General features: G+C 39.2%; 1 protein-coding gene across 54 annotated transcripts in view, besides 1 other annotated feature; it reads right to left on the bottom strand.

Annotated features, from left to right (window-relative positions):
* NRXN3 (neurexin 3) overlaps nt 1-14,607 on the bottom strand; it is a 1,697,919-nt gene that overhangs the window by 37,276 nt on the left and 1,646,036 nt on the right. The window lies entirely within an intron of this gene.
* Nucleotides 9,578-10,344: an enhancer, noted in NCBI's record as "NANOG hESC enhancer chr14:80287015-80287781 (GRCh37/hg19 assembly coordinates)". NCBI's record gives its function as "activates a minimal SCP1, AML or CMV promoter by ChIP-STARR-seq in naive H9 embryonic stem cells {active_cell/tissue: H9 hESC(naive)}" and the evidence as "EXISTENCE:reporter gene assay evidence [ECO:0000049][PMID:30033119]".

Below are 14,607 nucleotides of genomic sequence, written 5' to 3'. Positions count from 1 at the left end.
AACTGGAACCTCCTAAAGGTTTATCTGTCAACTTAATACTTGTCATCTAAAAAAGTGAGCTTCTTCAACCTGTTTCCCATTTCATCAATCAGTGTGAAGAGAATGAGAGGGAGGACCAAAAACAGCTGACTTACAGCTATTAACAGAGCCTTGCACCAAATAAAAGTTCACAAAGTCACCTGAATAGTTTACCGAACAAGTCTGCCTTGATGGAGTCAGTGAGAGAGAAGGTAGACAATAGAACAAGGTAGTTTAGTCCATTGTGACCAAATGGAGAGATTACTTTGCCTGTGTCTATGGTTACTCAAACTCTATTTGAAAAATGAACACGTTTTCCTCAGTTGCAATTTGGGTGAATCGGTGCCATTGAATAGTATGCCAAGGCTTCTTTTCCATAATCCTGGCTGGTGGCATTAGGCAACTGTCTGGCAGGGCTCTCAGGCCTATAGGCAACCCCTAATTTTCATGCTTTGTAAAAAGCAAAAGCCCCCTTTACTAATTGGGTACTTGTGGAAGAAAACCAGGCACACACCAAGCTATTCTCTTACTTGGTTCCTCTATCACACAAGAGACACACATTTGGGGAGTTACTGACTATGCTCTCAGAAAAAAAGGTGCCTCCATTTTAAAAATTGAAAAAGCATTTTGTTCACTATCCAGAGTCAAGTCCACTTCTCAAACCAAACTCTGTGGCCAGGTAAAGGATCCTACATATGTACAAAGCATTCCTTTTTTTCCAGAAATAGAACAAACTACTCTAGATTCCAAATTTATTCCTTGCAAGCTTATTAAAAACTCTCAAAGTTACAACTAAGGTACTATAGTTAAAAATGCTCCCTAGAACTTCATTCATTTTAAAATGATGCAACTTGTCTGGACAAGTCATGCCAGAGGCAAATAGACAGTCATTTATATGGTAACAATGGCCTTCTCCAACCTTCCATGCCAGGCCATTGTAAAGGAAGCGGCCATGATGCTCAACACATTTTCACAGCATGAATGGATTTCATCACTAGTCTTTCAAATGCTCCAAGTGTGTTGCAGACAGATAAACAAGCTCTGCTTGGAGGAAGTGCCTGAATTTGAAGCTGTAGAGCATATCTTCTCTATTCAGAGTGTGTTGAGTGAAGCAATACATTGTAATGAAATACAGTAAGCAGTGCTTTGGATAGGCAGGCACCTTCATATTAATAAAAAAAAAAGTCATTGGATTCAGTGGCCACGGTAGACTGGATGTATAGATGATGTTGTTACCATAACTCAGTTCTATTCCACTGAAAAGATACTCACTTGCAATCTCTTTCAATGAAGAAGACTTCAGAGAAGTCTGTAATCCCTTAGAACTACACACAGGCACACACACACATTCAGGGACTAGAACTAATCTTTTATGGCAGTGCACACATTGATCATGCGTGGGTAATTAAACAATTCATTTATAACTGATTCAGGTTGCTGCTATTGACCTTGATGGTTACTGGCTCCTGACTCCATAAAATGTGCTATGTCACTTAACAAATCTAAATGGTAATCAGTAGGAATCCTACACAATGCAATCAGCAGAAGTGATGAATTTTTATAAGCAGAGAGTGACCATGCATGGGCAATAACAGAAAACCTGCTGTTCCTCAGTTGATAGAAGGAATACATATGTTCCAACCCAGTACTGGAATGCTGTTAGCAATCAAAACATGACTTAGAAAGCTCTTGTGGTAGAGACAGGTATTCTGAAACAGATTTCCTGAAATTTCCTTTCTGGAGAAAGTGTTATTTCTTTATTATTATCATTATTATTAACATAGTCTTAGTACAAAGCATTTTTCTTTTATTCTAACTGTAAGCACACAAACCCAAACTTTTATTGCAGAATATTAATAATGTAAAAGCCATTTCCTTTTAACATGATGAATCACACTGGTAAATGATTGGCAACTTCAAAATTACATATTGAACAAGTTAATTGATAATAATTATAATGGTGAGGGTGATGGTGAGGAAGAAGGAATGTGTTTTCTCCAAAGTGTGGAATTGTGTAAATTATAAATCGATCAATAGTTGATCTCCACTTCCTCTCCACCATTGTATCTCCAGCACAACATGGAGGAAACATTTCTTTCTTTAAATAATTATTGTATGACTAATTCACTACAGCTAGGCAGATGTAAAAATGCCTAGAATTTGTATGCTGTCTTGAGTCTCTCTCAATCAGGCTGTATGTGCTTGAAGAAGCACAATAAGACACTGAACTACCAAGTGTCATCTCTAAGACTATGAGAGCCTGGAAATGGCTCCCATGACTATTCCAGTCAAATCTATTCCTGTCTCTTTCATTGATAGGATTTGGTACGCAAAAAAAAAAAAAAAGACAATTTTACTTTTTTTTTTTTTTTTTTTTTTGAGATGGAGTCTTCCTCTGTTGCCCAGGCTGGAGTGCAGAGCGTGATCTCGGCTCACTGTAACCTCCACCTCCCGGGTTCAAGCAATTCTCCTGGCTCAGCCTCCCGAGTAGCTGGGATTACAGGTGCCTGCCACCATGCCTGGCTAATTTTTGAATTTTTAGCAGAGATGGGGTTTCACCATGTTTGCCAGGCTAGTCTTGAACTTCTGACCTCAGGTGATCCGCCCACCTCAGCCTCCCAAAGTGCTGGGATTACAGGCGTGAGCCACCATGCCCAGCCATGTCACTTTTTTTCTAGCCAACCTTCCTCCAGTGAACTCATCACTTTACTCACTAAATCTCCATTTTTCACAAAGCCCACTCCCTTTCCTCCCAGGAGCAGTACAGGATCGGAGAATTCACTCTCATATGGGTTGACTCAAAGCTGCAAAAGGACAGCAAAGCCTACTTAATTCCTGATATAGTTTGGAATATTTGTCTCTGCCTGAATCTCTTGTTGAACTGTAATCCCCAAAGCTGGAGGTGGGGCCTGGTGGGAGGTGTTTGGGTCATGAAGGTGGATCTCTTGTGGCTTGGTGCTGTCCTCATGACAGTGAGATCCGGTCATATAAAAGTTTGTGGCGGCCAGGTGCTGTGGCTCACGCCTGTAATCCCAACACTTTAATTGACCAAGGCGGGCAAATCACTTGAGGTCAGGAGTTTGAGACCAGCCTGTCCAACATGGTGAAACCTCGTCTCTACTAAAAATAGAAAAATTAGCCTGGGTGTGGTGGCATGAGCCTGTAATCCCAGCTACTGGGGAGGCTGAGGCAGGAGAATTGCTGGAACCCAGGAGGTGGAAGTTGCAGTGAGCCGAGATCACGACTTTGCACTCCAGCCTGGGCGACAAGAGTGAGAATCCATCTCAAAAAAAAAAAAAAAAAAAAGTTTGTGGCATCTCCACCCCTGCTTGTTCCTGCTCTGGCCATATGACATACCTGTTCCCCCTTCACCTTTTGCCATGATTGTAGTTTCCCCGAGGCTCCCCAGATGCTAGCACCATGCTTCTTATATAGCCTGCAGAACTCTGAGCGAATTAAACGTCTTTTCTTTATAAATTACCCAGTCTCGGGTATTTCTTTATAGCAATGCAAGAATAGCCTAACACACTTCCTTATTTTATACTTTGGACAAAATCCTGTGAGACAGTTGCTGCTCCCAGATAACTCTCTCCCAGAAATGGCTGACTTTTTCTAATGTTCAGAATTTTTTGCAAGCTCTAATGCATTTTTTCTTCCTCTTAGCTGTCACTTATTTCACACTCTTCTGCTCAAATATCATTTTTTTCAGAGAAGGTTTCCTCATCCTTCTCTACATTCCTAGCACCCACCCCTGCCTTGTTACCTGTCCTACCATGGTATGCTCATGGCACCAAGTGCCTTTGCTTCATAGCCTTCATCAACGTTTGTCATCACACATTTATTTGGAGGTCACTTAATTACATGACAGTGTCCCCCACTAGGCCCACAAGGGCCATCTCTGTTCTTGCTTACTCTTGCATCCTCAGTGCTTAGCACACAGTAAATGCTCAATCTGCAGCTAAGTGAAAACACTAATAAAAAGCATTGTCAGACTATTATATCCGTGCTCTCTAAGGAATGAATACTAGATGAAACACAGGTCCTTCCTTGCCATAATTTTAATTCTAAAAATTGAAATCTTCCTCCTGTGCTGAAGCACAGGCTCTATCTTCCCGCTTCTACACCAACACACCTGGCAGGACTTTAAGAAGTTTACTTGCTCTTACTGGTCTGTGACCAGTAAACAAATGGGGAAATAAAATAACGTATCAGGAAGATGCTTCAAAAGTTGGTGAGCTTGACAACTAAATGCAATGTGTGATCTTGGATTGGATCACAGACTGGGAAAAAAATAATCCCAAAGCCCATTATGCAGACGCTGGTGCAATGTGAATATGTACTCTAGGTGAGATTTTGTGTCAAGATTACATTTACTGATTTTGATCACTGTACTCTGATTTTGTAAGAGAAAGTCCTTGTTAGGAAATACACACTGAATTATTTAAAAAAGGAATGATGACTACAACTGAGTTTCAAATGGTTCAGGGGAAATACATATCTACATAAATATGTTTTGTATGCATACTCTCAAATGGCTCATGTGTGCATGTACACTCACACATATAGAGAATGGTAAAGCAAATGTGGCAAATGTTAACAACTGGTGAACCTGAGTAAGGACATAACGAATTCCATATACTATTCTTGCAACTTTTCTCCAACTATAAAGTTATTTGAAAATCCAAGGTTTAAAAAAAAAATCTCAGGTTGGGCACAGCGGCTCATGCCTGTAATCTCAGCACTTTGGGAGGTCAAGGCAGGCAGATCACCTGAGGCCAGGAGTTTGAGACCAGCCTGGCCACTATGGCGAAACCCCTCTACTAAAAATATAAAAACTAGCTGGGCATGGTAGCAGGTGCCTGTAATCTCAGCTACTCAGGAGCCTGAGGCAGGAAAATTGCTTGAACCCAGGAGGCAGAGGTTGCAGTGAGCCGAGATCGCACCACTGCACTCTAGCCTGGATTACAGAGTGAGACTGTCCCCCCACAAAAAAAAAATCTTTGAGGAAGGTATATATATGTGTAATTTGGGGTACATGTGACACATAATCAAGCTAATATTTATGCACATATTTTGACTTTGTGATTAGGTTTTCAGTGTGACATGTGCTGGAGGATCTATAACTACAGTTACTTTTACATCAGAAGAAACAACCATGAAACTTACTAACTGATGCTTTAATACAAGTATATAAAAGTGTAACAATATATATATTTTAAGATCTGGGTTGTGAGTAGTTATGATCATGTCTTCCAGCACCAGCAGGATGGAAAGAAAAGTCTCAGACTATATAACATGAAAATCTATTCAGAGAGTAGTCAGTTTAAGGTAAAATAGCAAAGTCACACACTTTGGGATGTGTTGGACTCTAGAAAAGACAGTTTTATTTACTTATTGAGAAAAGTTAAAGTGAAGCACTTCTTAAATTTCTCACTTCCGTGTATCACATAAGCATTGTGCTCCATGCTGGGGTTGAGGAGAGGAAGACATTGAAGCTTATTCTTTGTGCATCGTTTTAAAACAGGGCTTTTCTCCAATGGGTAAGATCCTACTAGGGTCAACGTGGCTACTCATTAACTCTCCTAGCTTCACTACTTCTGAAATTTTCTTAAATGAAAACAGAATCAGAGTGAAGAGAGTAGAGGAAGAAGTCAGCATGAATGACAACTGATAGGGTGAACACACATTTATCGAGTTCAAGCTAACAAATCAGCATTTGTGCAATGCCTGACTCAGAAAATCCACATATAATTTGAAAATTGGACGGCCGTAAAAAAAAAAAAAAAAAAAAGCACACAAAGAATTATTTCACCAATTGGTCTGACAAAGGAAGTTACGTAATGGCATTTGGCAGAGGATGCAGAACAAAACAGCCTGGTAAACAAATGAAGTCATTAGAAGGGAAGGGATAAGGTTGACTCCAAATGTAGCAAATACAAAATAAAATCAGATTTTTAAATGCTACAAATACAAACGTTTGTTCTTTAGTAGGAGTGCCTGACCTTTTCACAAATTGGGTTATAGGATTGGTAATACCTAAGTACATTATCAGTTTTTCATGTCAATCTTCTGGACTATGCATAGATGTTATCAAATAAGAACATTCTTAGAATAAGAAAGCAAATCTTTATGCATCCGTTATATGTAAATTTATATATTTTACATATGATGATACAGTTTTAACAATTTGAGCAGCTTCTGATAAATTCAAATACTAACAAAACCAAAAGAGTTAAAGAAGTCTCAGAAAACAAAATAGAAATCAAAAAGTCTTCACAAGCTCTTCCATCTCTTAAATATACGTGAGGAAATCACTACTAATGCTGATATTTAGAAGTGGGTGCTTTTATCTTTAAACAACCTTGTTTGAATAGATATGCTCCAGGCATTGCACTTGGACCATTTGTTTTACCAGCTGTTTCTAAAAGTATGTTCATGATGGAAACCTTTTCTGCCTCCTCCAAAATTGCTTTTCTGAGGGCTTTTTCCCCCTTCCACAACGGAAAGGGTAAAGATATGGAAAACAACATCTGCTGAAAGATCTCACAGCTTCAGGGGTGGACTATAGTCGTAAGATGCACGTGGAAAAAAAAACCATCAAAAAACCCTGATAAACTAAATGACTAAAGAGACTGCTGCATTCTCTTGGATTAAAGGTAATCAAATGTTTTAATTCATTAATATAATCTTTGTAGCTGCAGTGACAGATGTTCCCTACATGGAAGAGAGTCTCAATTAATCTGCAGCTGATTTAATTTTCTGGACATCCTATCGAGGGAGAGACAGAAGAGGAAGAGGGAGGTAGAGAGACATGAATGTAAAGTTTTAAATTACTTGTCTGCAACTGCATCTTTTCATCTAACCAGCAGATGTACAGATGAGAACTGTTCAGGCATTAAGTATGTACACAACACCTGAAGCTGGGGTTAAAGGATCAAGCATATTCCCAAGACTCTGGTGAAAGCCACTTCGTGTTCCATCTGTGTTCCTGGGTTCCAAGCAGAAATTTTAAACTTTCTGGTAATGGGTCATTTACAGGATAGCTTGTGCCCACTGCTGCTGCATTACCACCTGGTGTATCCATGGACAATTTGTCACTTGATGAACAGAACTGACCTTATGGAACTAATGTGTTAAGCTATATAGAGCCCTGCATATCATCATCATCATCATCTTTGAATTCCTCCAGCAGCTTTCCTTGCAGGGCCATACATCATAATTCAACCCAGGAAAAAGGATTCACTATTTTTAAAAAATTACGGGTCTGGCGAAGCTTCCGTATCTAAATATTAAAACATTTCCCTTGCTGGTCTCCTAGTATACTCTTCTATATTTTAAGAAATAACAGATATCCCTTCTCTCTGATTACAAATGTAATACATGCTCTGCATCGATTTTTGTTGTTGTTCTGTTTCATTTTTTGAGACAGGGTCTTGCTCTGTTGCCCAGGCTGGAGTGCAGTGGTGTGATCATGGCTCACTGCACCCTTGACCTCCCAGGCTCAAGCAATCCTCCCACCTCAGCATCCCAAGTAGCTGGAACTATAGGCATGCGCCACCATGCCCAATTTCTACATAGATGTTTTGGAGTATGATTATCAAAATATCGGTCACCACCTAGAGATAATCACTGTTAAGTCTGTTATTGATAATACAATTCTTACACCTGATTCAGGACCTTAAGTCTCTGATTTCCAATAAATACTCAGTAAATTTGGCATGAATTTTTATTAGGCTAAATTTAGTGTAATATTTTCAATATTTAGATAATAAATTTCATGAATCAGGAGGTTATTGGTATAGATTACCCAAGAGACAAAAAAGAGGAGAGGGGATGAGGACGTAGATACACATTCAGGAATTGCCTTTGATGTAGATCACATGCCTTATTTTGGCTGGGGACTATAATATTTGACTTTCTCTTGACACAAAGATGGATCATGTTAGCTCAAATGTAGGCTAATTCAGCTTTCCAAAATAGCTCTCTCTCCTTTGTTACAAGGCTTACAGTGAAAAAAATCTAGAGTTAGCACAGAGACTTTTTTATAGGCATGAATTATCTTTCCACACAGTCCTTAGAAGTTTCTGTCTTTCTTTAAGTAGACTTCTAAACTGATCTTGGCCTTCTAGTTATATTTATCCTAGGGTGGCTTTTTTGGTTTTTTTGTTTGTTTGTTTGTTTGTTTGTTTGGAAATCTATTTTGTGCCTTTAATCTATTTTTTTAACTGAAATTAAAAATTACCTTAATGCTTGTTATCTAAGTGACGGATGCTTAAACTAGTAACTTCCTGGGACCTCAATAAAATAGATGGGTCTTAACATCATCATTATTAGTTCACAATAAAACTTTACATGTAAAAAGGCCTTCAGTCTTTGAAATCTACTCAATCTAATGTGGCAACATAGAGAACACTTTAAAACTTTAAAACTCTTGTTTTTTTGCTTTTTCGGATGTTTGTTTTCAATGCCTGAGAAAAAAACTTCAAAGAAAAACTGTAGGGAAGGACTGACATACCATTGCCAACCTTTATTTTGCTGATTAAGAATGCTATACATAGTAACAAAATGCTGCTTTTGTAAAAGACATTGATTTTAGCCATCCAAAAAAACATGATACAGTATCCAAATATAGGGCAGTTCTGTAAGTTTGACTTTGTGCAGACTCACCATATTGTCCTTGCTTTTCTCATTTCACTATGGGTCACTGAAAGCTTTGGCATAGACTGGTACTAGTTTTAAATTCGAGCTTGGGAACCAGTACTCTAGGTTGCTTAATCTGTCCTCTGTGTGGGCAGATAACATGACTGAGAACACATCACTAGAGCATATATTTGAGTCTGTGCCACAGGAGACTTCCAGTCCCCACTAACTGCTTCACAACTTGTCTATAATCTCTTAGTTCCCTTTGTGACTAAAATAATACAGAGTTGTATATTTGAGCCCTAAGTGGGTCAATGATATCGTCTTGTATGGCAACAATGTCCAGTAGAGGGAAGATAATCAATTTCATACTACTTCTGAATTCTCTGTTGGATGTTATCTCAGTTTAAAATAGAAATCTTTGGATATACAATAAAAAAAATCTTAATATATAATATCAATAAAATGGCATGGATTAAAGATTTAGGACACCTGGGATTGAATTACAACTCCAATAAAGACTAGGTCCATGACCTTCAGCAAATCAGTTTATCTTTGTAGGCATCAGTTTTGTCACCTAAACCAAAAGCATTACAATGAACTCTAAAATTCATCAAGCTTATAGTTTGAGGTTATATAAACTCTGGGATTATCAGAGAAAAAAAGACATGCAAAAAAAAAAAAAAAAAGGTCTTAGCTTTAGGGGAATTTGGAAGGGATTGCTGTTTAATTTGATAATGTCACCAAGAGTTTACTAAACCAGAAATTTTACTGAGAGCACATCCTGCCAAATTTATGAAAGGGCTATATTTAAAGGAATTTAAGAAACAAAAGAATAAAAAACACTGTGTGTCTCATTATGCCTTGTTTGACCTTCATGGGGTCTCTTTATTTTAGTGTTTTTAAAATGTTTCATTTGGATGCCTTTAAATGAGGGCATGTTCTCTTCAGTTCAGAGTTCCCATGACTGCAGATTGCATCTGGTCTGGTCTATTTCATCTATTCATGTTATGCAGCTGGCCCCTGGGGACAGAGTGTTTTCCCTTGCTTTATAGGGAAAGCTAGTAATGAGTAAGTGTAAACAAACAAGTAAACAAACCAACTAGCCACATGGTAAAATGAGAGGTTATTGTAAGCAGAAAGGGAGAAAAAAGTCCTTGTCAGGCCATCAATAGTGCCTAATTTACCCTTGTTTTCCTCTTGTTCTTGTTAATCTCTTTGATCTTCAAAGCTTATTAAAACATGCATTCCAATAGGTTATTTTAGAAGATGACCCCGTGCCTCCTGCCCTCAAAGCCTTTCCTAATGCCTCCATCTTTTTTGCCTCCTTGCATCATCTCTTCATTTTGTTTGCTTCCTTTGTAGTTCAGAACCTTACATCTCCAGGCACAAAACCACACCAGGGGGCCCTGCTAATGTAGAAAGCTCATAATGTTATCACTAAGCACCCTGGCCACCCAAAGTTAACCTTATGCTCCCTCTGGGGTTTGGGATACATTAAGATTTAGCTTCATGGTTTGCCCCATGTTTATATATGAGTCTTTCATATTTCTTCTCCATAGATTTCTAATGTGAAAGATGTTAAAGAGAGTAAGCATTAACTTATACTGCATGTTCTCAACAAGTTGGAGCTAAATGATGACTTAGGAACACAAGGAAACGACAGACAATGGAGTCTACTTGAGCAGGGAGGGTGAGAGGATGGAGGGAGCAGAAAAGATAATTTTTTGATACTGGGCTTAATACCTAGATGATCAAATGATATGTACAACAAAACCGCATGATATGTTTACATAGGTAACAAACCTTCACATGTACCCATAAACCTAAAATAAAAGTTAGAAACAAAAACTTCTTAAGGAAAAGCCATTTTTGCAGTAGTACTAAATCTGGCTGGTAGTACTAAATCTGGCTGTGAACCTGTATTCTCATAGCCTGATCTGGTCTAATCTGCTGCCAGGTGGTAGAACACGTTATTCACCTCAGGACATAGGATGCTCCTTCCTGCACCATACTGTATAATCTGCTACCTCTAACATTCAGAGGGCTAAGATATAAATACATGCTTTTGCTCGCAATGCAGGCAGGAGTCCTAGATATGGTGCCCACTCCATTGTGTCCTCCTCATTCACTGCCTGTGTCACCAAGAATGTTTTTCCCACTTTCCTCACAAAACTTACAAAGCTACAAATCAAAGAGTACAGGGAAAGAAGAGGCTCTCAGCAGGTTGTGAAATCGTATCTCAGTCATTTAGACATTTGTCAGCTCAATAACCCATAGCCAAGGTTTGGGGAAGAATTACTGGGATATGACACAGTATGTGGGCGGGAGATCAAGGAAGCTACTGCCAAAGAGGTCTAAAATTGGGGGTGAATGCAGCCCACACCTAGCAGAGGTGGGGAGCTCAGAAGACACACTGGCAAAGCGAAGGGCAAGACGTTAAGCTCCTACCCAAATATGTAGTGTACAAGCTGGGTGGAGATGACCCTGGTTTAGTTTGTTATTGTGTTTCATGTCTGAGATAGTGGCATATCTAAAACAAAGGTGGGAAATGTCCTTAAAGATGAACTTTTAGGGCCGGGTGCGGTGGCTGATGCCTGTAATCCCAGCACTTTGGGAGGCCGAGGGGGGCAAATCACGAGGTCAGGAGTTCGAGACCAGTCTGGCCAACATGGTGAAACCCCGTCTCTACTAAAAACACAAAAATTAGCTGGGCGTGGTGGCTCACGCCTTTAGTCCCAGCTACTCAGGCGGTTGAGGCAGGAGAATTGCCTGAACCTGGGAGGCGGAGGTTGTAGTGAGCCGAGATTGTGCCACTGCCCTCCAGCTTGGGTGACAGAAAAAGACTCCGTCTCAAAAAAAAAAAAAAAAAAAAGCTTTTAATGTCCTGTTGTATCCTATGTGGTCTCATGTACTTAGTGGAGAACTCAACAAATGTTGGGAACGACTATAAAATGGGCAAGAAGGTCTTATCTATTAAAAACAAAAAAAAAGACTACACATTTTTAACCTATGGGACTTCTCTAGATTGGGGTAAACTATGACCTCTGAGCCAAATCCAGCTCCATCTCTGCTTTTGGAAATCAACTTTCATGAAAACACAGCCCTGCTCATTTATTTGTTTCCATGGCTGCTATGTGTCATTATAAGAGCTGATTGAGGAGATAGGGCAGGGACTGTAAGACGCTCAAAGTGTAAAATACTTACACCCCAGCCCTTACAGAAAAAAAGTTTGCTAACTTTGGCTCTGGGTAATTAATCTGACAAATTTTAACACTGGGCAATACAGTATTGCCAGTTTTCATGATCTTTTAGTAAGAGGAGGTCTCTGTGCTTCAAAGCTAAGATGGAAGCACTGCTCTAGGACAGAGGGTATGCAAACATTTTCAACTATACACATTTTCCAGTTTATGAGTTTATGATCTGGATTCGGGATGGGTTGAGACTGATATAATTTGTAATGGAATCCTCAGATGTTTGTGCAGGCCATACTTGCCTTGGAATAAGGATTATAATACAAGCAAACACAGTTTTAAAATTATGTTTCCTTTTTAATTGTGATTTTTAGTTCTTTATAACTCATTTTAAGATTCTTTTCTTGCATAGGAAACTCAAAGACCCACAAAAAGTGTGTGTGTGTTTTGGCTTTTAAAATAGTTTTGGATGCATAATGCAAGGAAGTGAGGAAAAAGGGAGGATAAACAAATAGTTACAACTTTAAGAGATGTCAAGAGCATGTGGGTGTCAGAAAGGGTCTAAGATAAGAAATACAAGTTCGTTTTGTTGTTGTTGTTGTTTTTTGCTTTCTTTTAGCTGTAACACCTAAATCACTGTGTTCTAAGGAACATATTTATTTCTGAAATAAAGAAAATGCAGTATCTTAACCCAAGCTCTCGCTAAGAGCCTCTATCCTTAGATTCCTAACATCAGTTAAAGGTGGCTGTTGTCTGGGCATATGTTTTGAACAGAATTGATCATGAATAATGAGCTAGAAACCCCAAGTGCGGCCGGGCGCGGTGGCTCACGCCTGTAATCCCAGCACTTTGGGAGGCCGAGGCGGGCGGATCACGAGGTCAGGAGATCATGACCATCCTGGCTACCACGGTGAAACCCCGTCTCTACTAAAAACACAAAAAATTAGCCAGGCGTGGTGGCGGGCACCTGTAGTCCCAGCTACTCGGGAGGCTGAGGCAGGAGAATGGCGTGAACCCGGGAGGCGGAGCTTGCAGTGAGCCGAGATCGCGCCACTGCACTCCAGCCTGGGTGACAGCGAGACTCCGTCTCAAAAAAAAAAAAAAAAAAAAAAAAAAACCCAAGTGCACATATTATTGCATAGGTGACATCAAGGGAGACTCACCTCACATAAGTGTTGGTATTTCTCTCCAATATTGGAGTCATTCCTCCTTATGGGAAACCAGGGTAACTTGTTTTAACCACGGTTATTTGAATAAATCATAATGGAACAATTTTATAACCCCCATCAACCAAGATTGTTAAAGCCTTTTTGATACATAATAACTAACCCATTTATCAACTACTTCCCAACCATGTAATACATTCAATACACAGACTTTCTTTTATTATCAAGGAGGCCGGCAGCTATTTCGTATATTTAGGTTAATGGAAAATAAGCGCTACGTAAGAGACAGGATAGCATAGTGATGGGTGTCCACGCTGGGGGCAGTTGGCTTGGGTTCAGATCCCATTTCTTCTACTTCCTTGCTGTGTGACCTTGATAATTTGCTTAGCTCCTCTGTGCCTCCATTTACTTATCTTTAAAATGGAGATAATAAGAATAGACTCTCACATGATTGCTGTGAGGATTAAAGTAGTTAACAATGTGAAGTACTTAAGACTATATTTCACTAAAGGAAGTGCTAATATTCACTGAATGATGAAACAAAGTTGTAGCAGTGGCAAACCTATAGGAGAAAGCCTAGAAGTCACTTCAAAGGACTTTATTCAATGTTGTGTATGCTGCCATCGAAAGTTTACTATATAGGGAGGCCCGGAACGGTGGCTCATACCTGTAATCCCAGAACTTCGGGAGGCCAAGGCAGGCAGATCACTTGAGGCCAGGAGTTCAAGACCAGCCTGGCCAACATGGTAAAACCCCGTCTCTACTAAAAATACAAAAATTAGCTGGGTATGGTGGCACACGCCTGTAGTCCCAGATACTCAGGAGGCTGAGGCAGGAGAATTGCTTGAATCCGGGAGGTGGAGGTTGTAGTGAGCTGAGATCATGCCACTAAATTCCAGCATGGGTGACAGAGTGACCAAAAAAAAATAATAATAATTATGGGGGCAACTAAACTTCACACCAAATTAAAGCAAAATACTGCACTATCAGAAACCCAATCAAATTATCTATCTTGTCAAATTAGAAGGACTAAAAAGCTGCAACACTTTCCTTTTTAATTCCCAGGCCTCTCAAACTCTTTTACAGAGCAATGATTAAGTATCTTACAATAAAATCATCTTTTTAAAAACTGCAGTTGCTTTCTGCAGTACTATGGTTCTCATGCTGTTTTAAATGTTAATATACTAGCTTACTCTATTAGAAAATGTGGAAGCAAAGGACATTGACATATTTCACTGTGCAGTTGGTTAATTAACATGCATTACATACTGTAACTAAATAAAATTCATTAGAGTTTAAAAGTTATAAAACCTAACTATGTAATGGGATCATGCTATAGATTCTATGTGCTCAGAAAATGTATCTGGGATAGTCTTTCCAAAGCTCAAGGGACAGAATATGAAAACCTAAGAAATATCCTGTTCATTGTCAATGTTAGTAAAAGAGGAATATTTGGAGGAAACAAAATTAGTCAAAGTGGACATTCTCATGAAGACATGGTCATAACTTTGGTGGCATTTACAAACAGAGTAATCAGGAGTTCTAATTTTGCTTCACTGTCTTCATTTTGCCATTGACACAACCATAAT

The sequence above is a fragment of the Homo sapiens genome, chromosome 14, assembly GCF_000001405.40.
Source record: "Homo sapiens chromosome 14, GRCh38.p14 Primary Assembly".
NCBI classification, from domain to species: Eukaryota; Metazoa; Chordata; class Mammalia; order Primates; family Hominidae; genus Homo; species Homo sapiens.
This window is presented reverse-complemented; position numbering and strand designations above follow the sequence as displayed.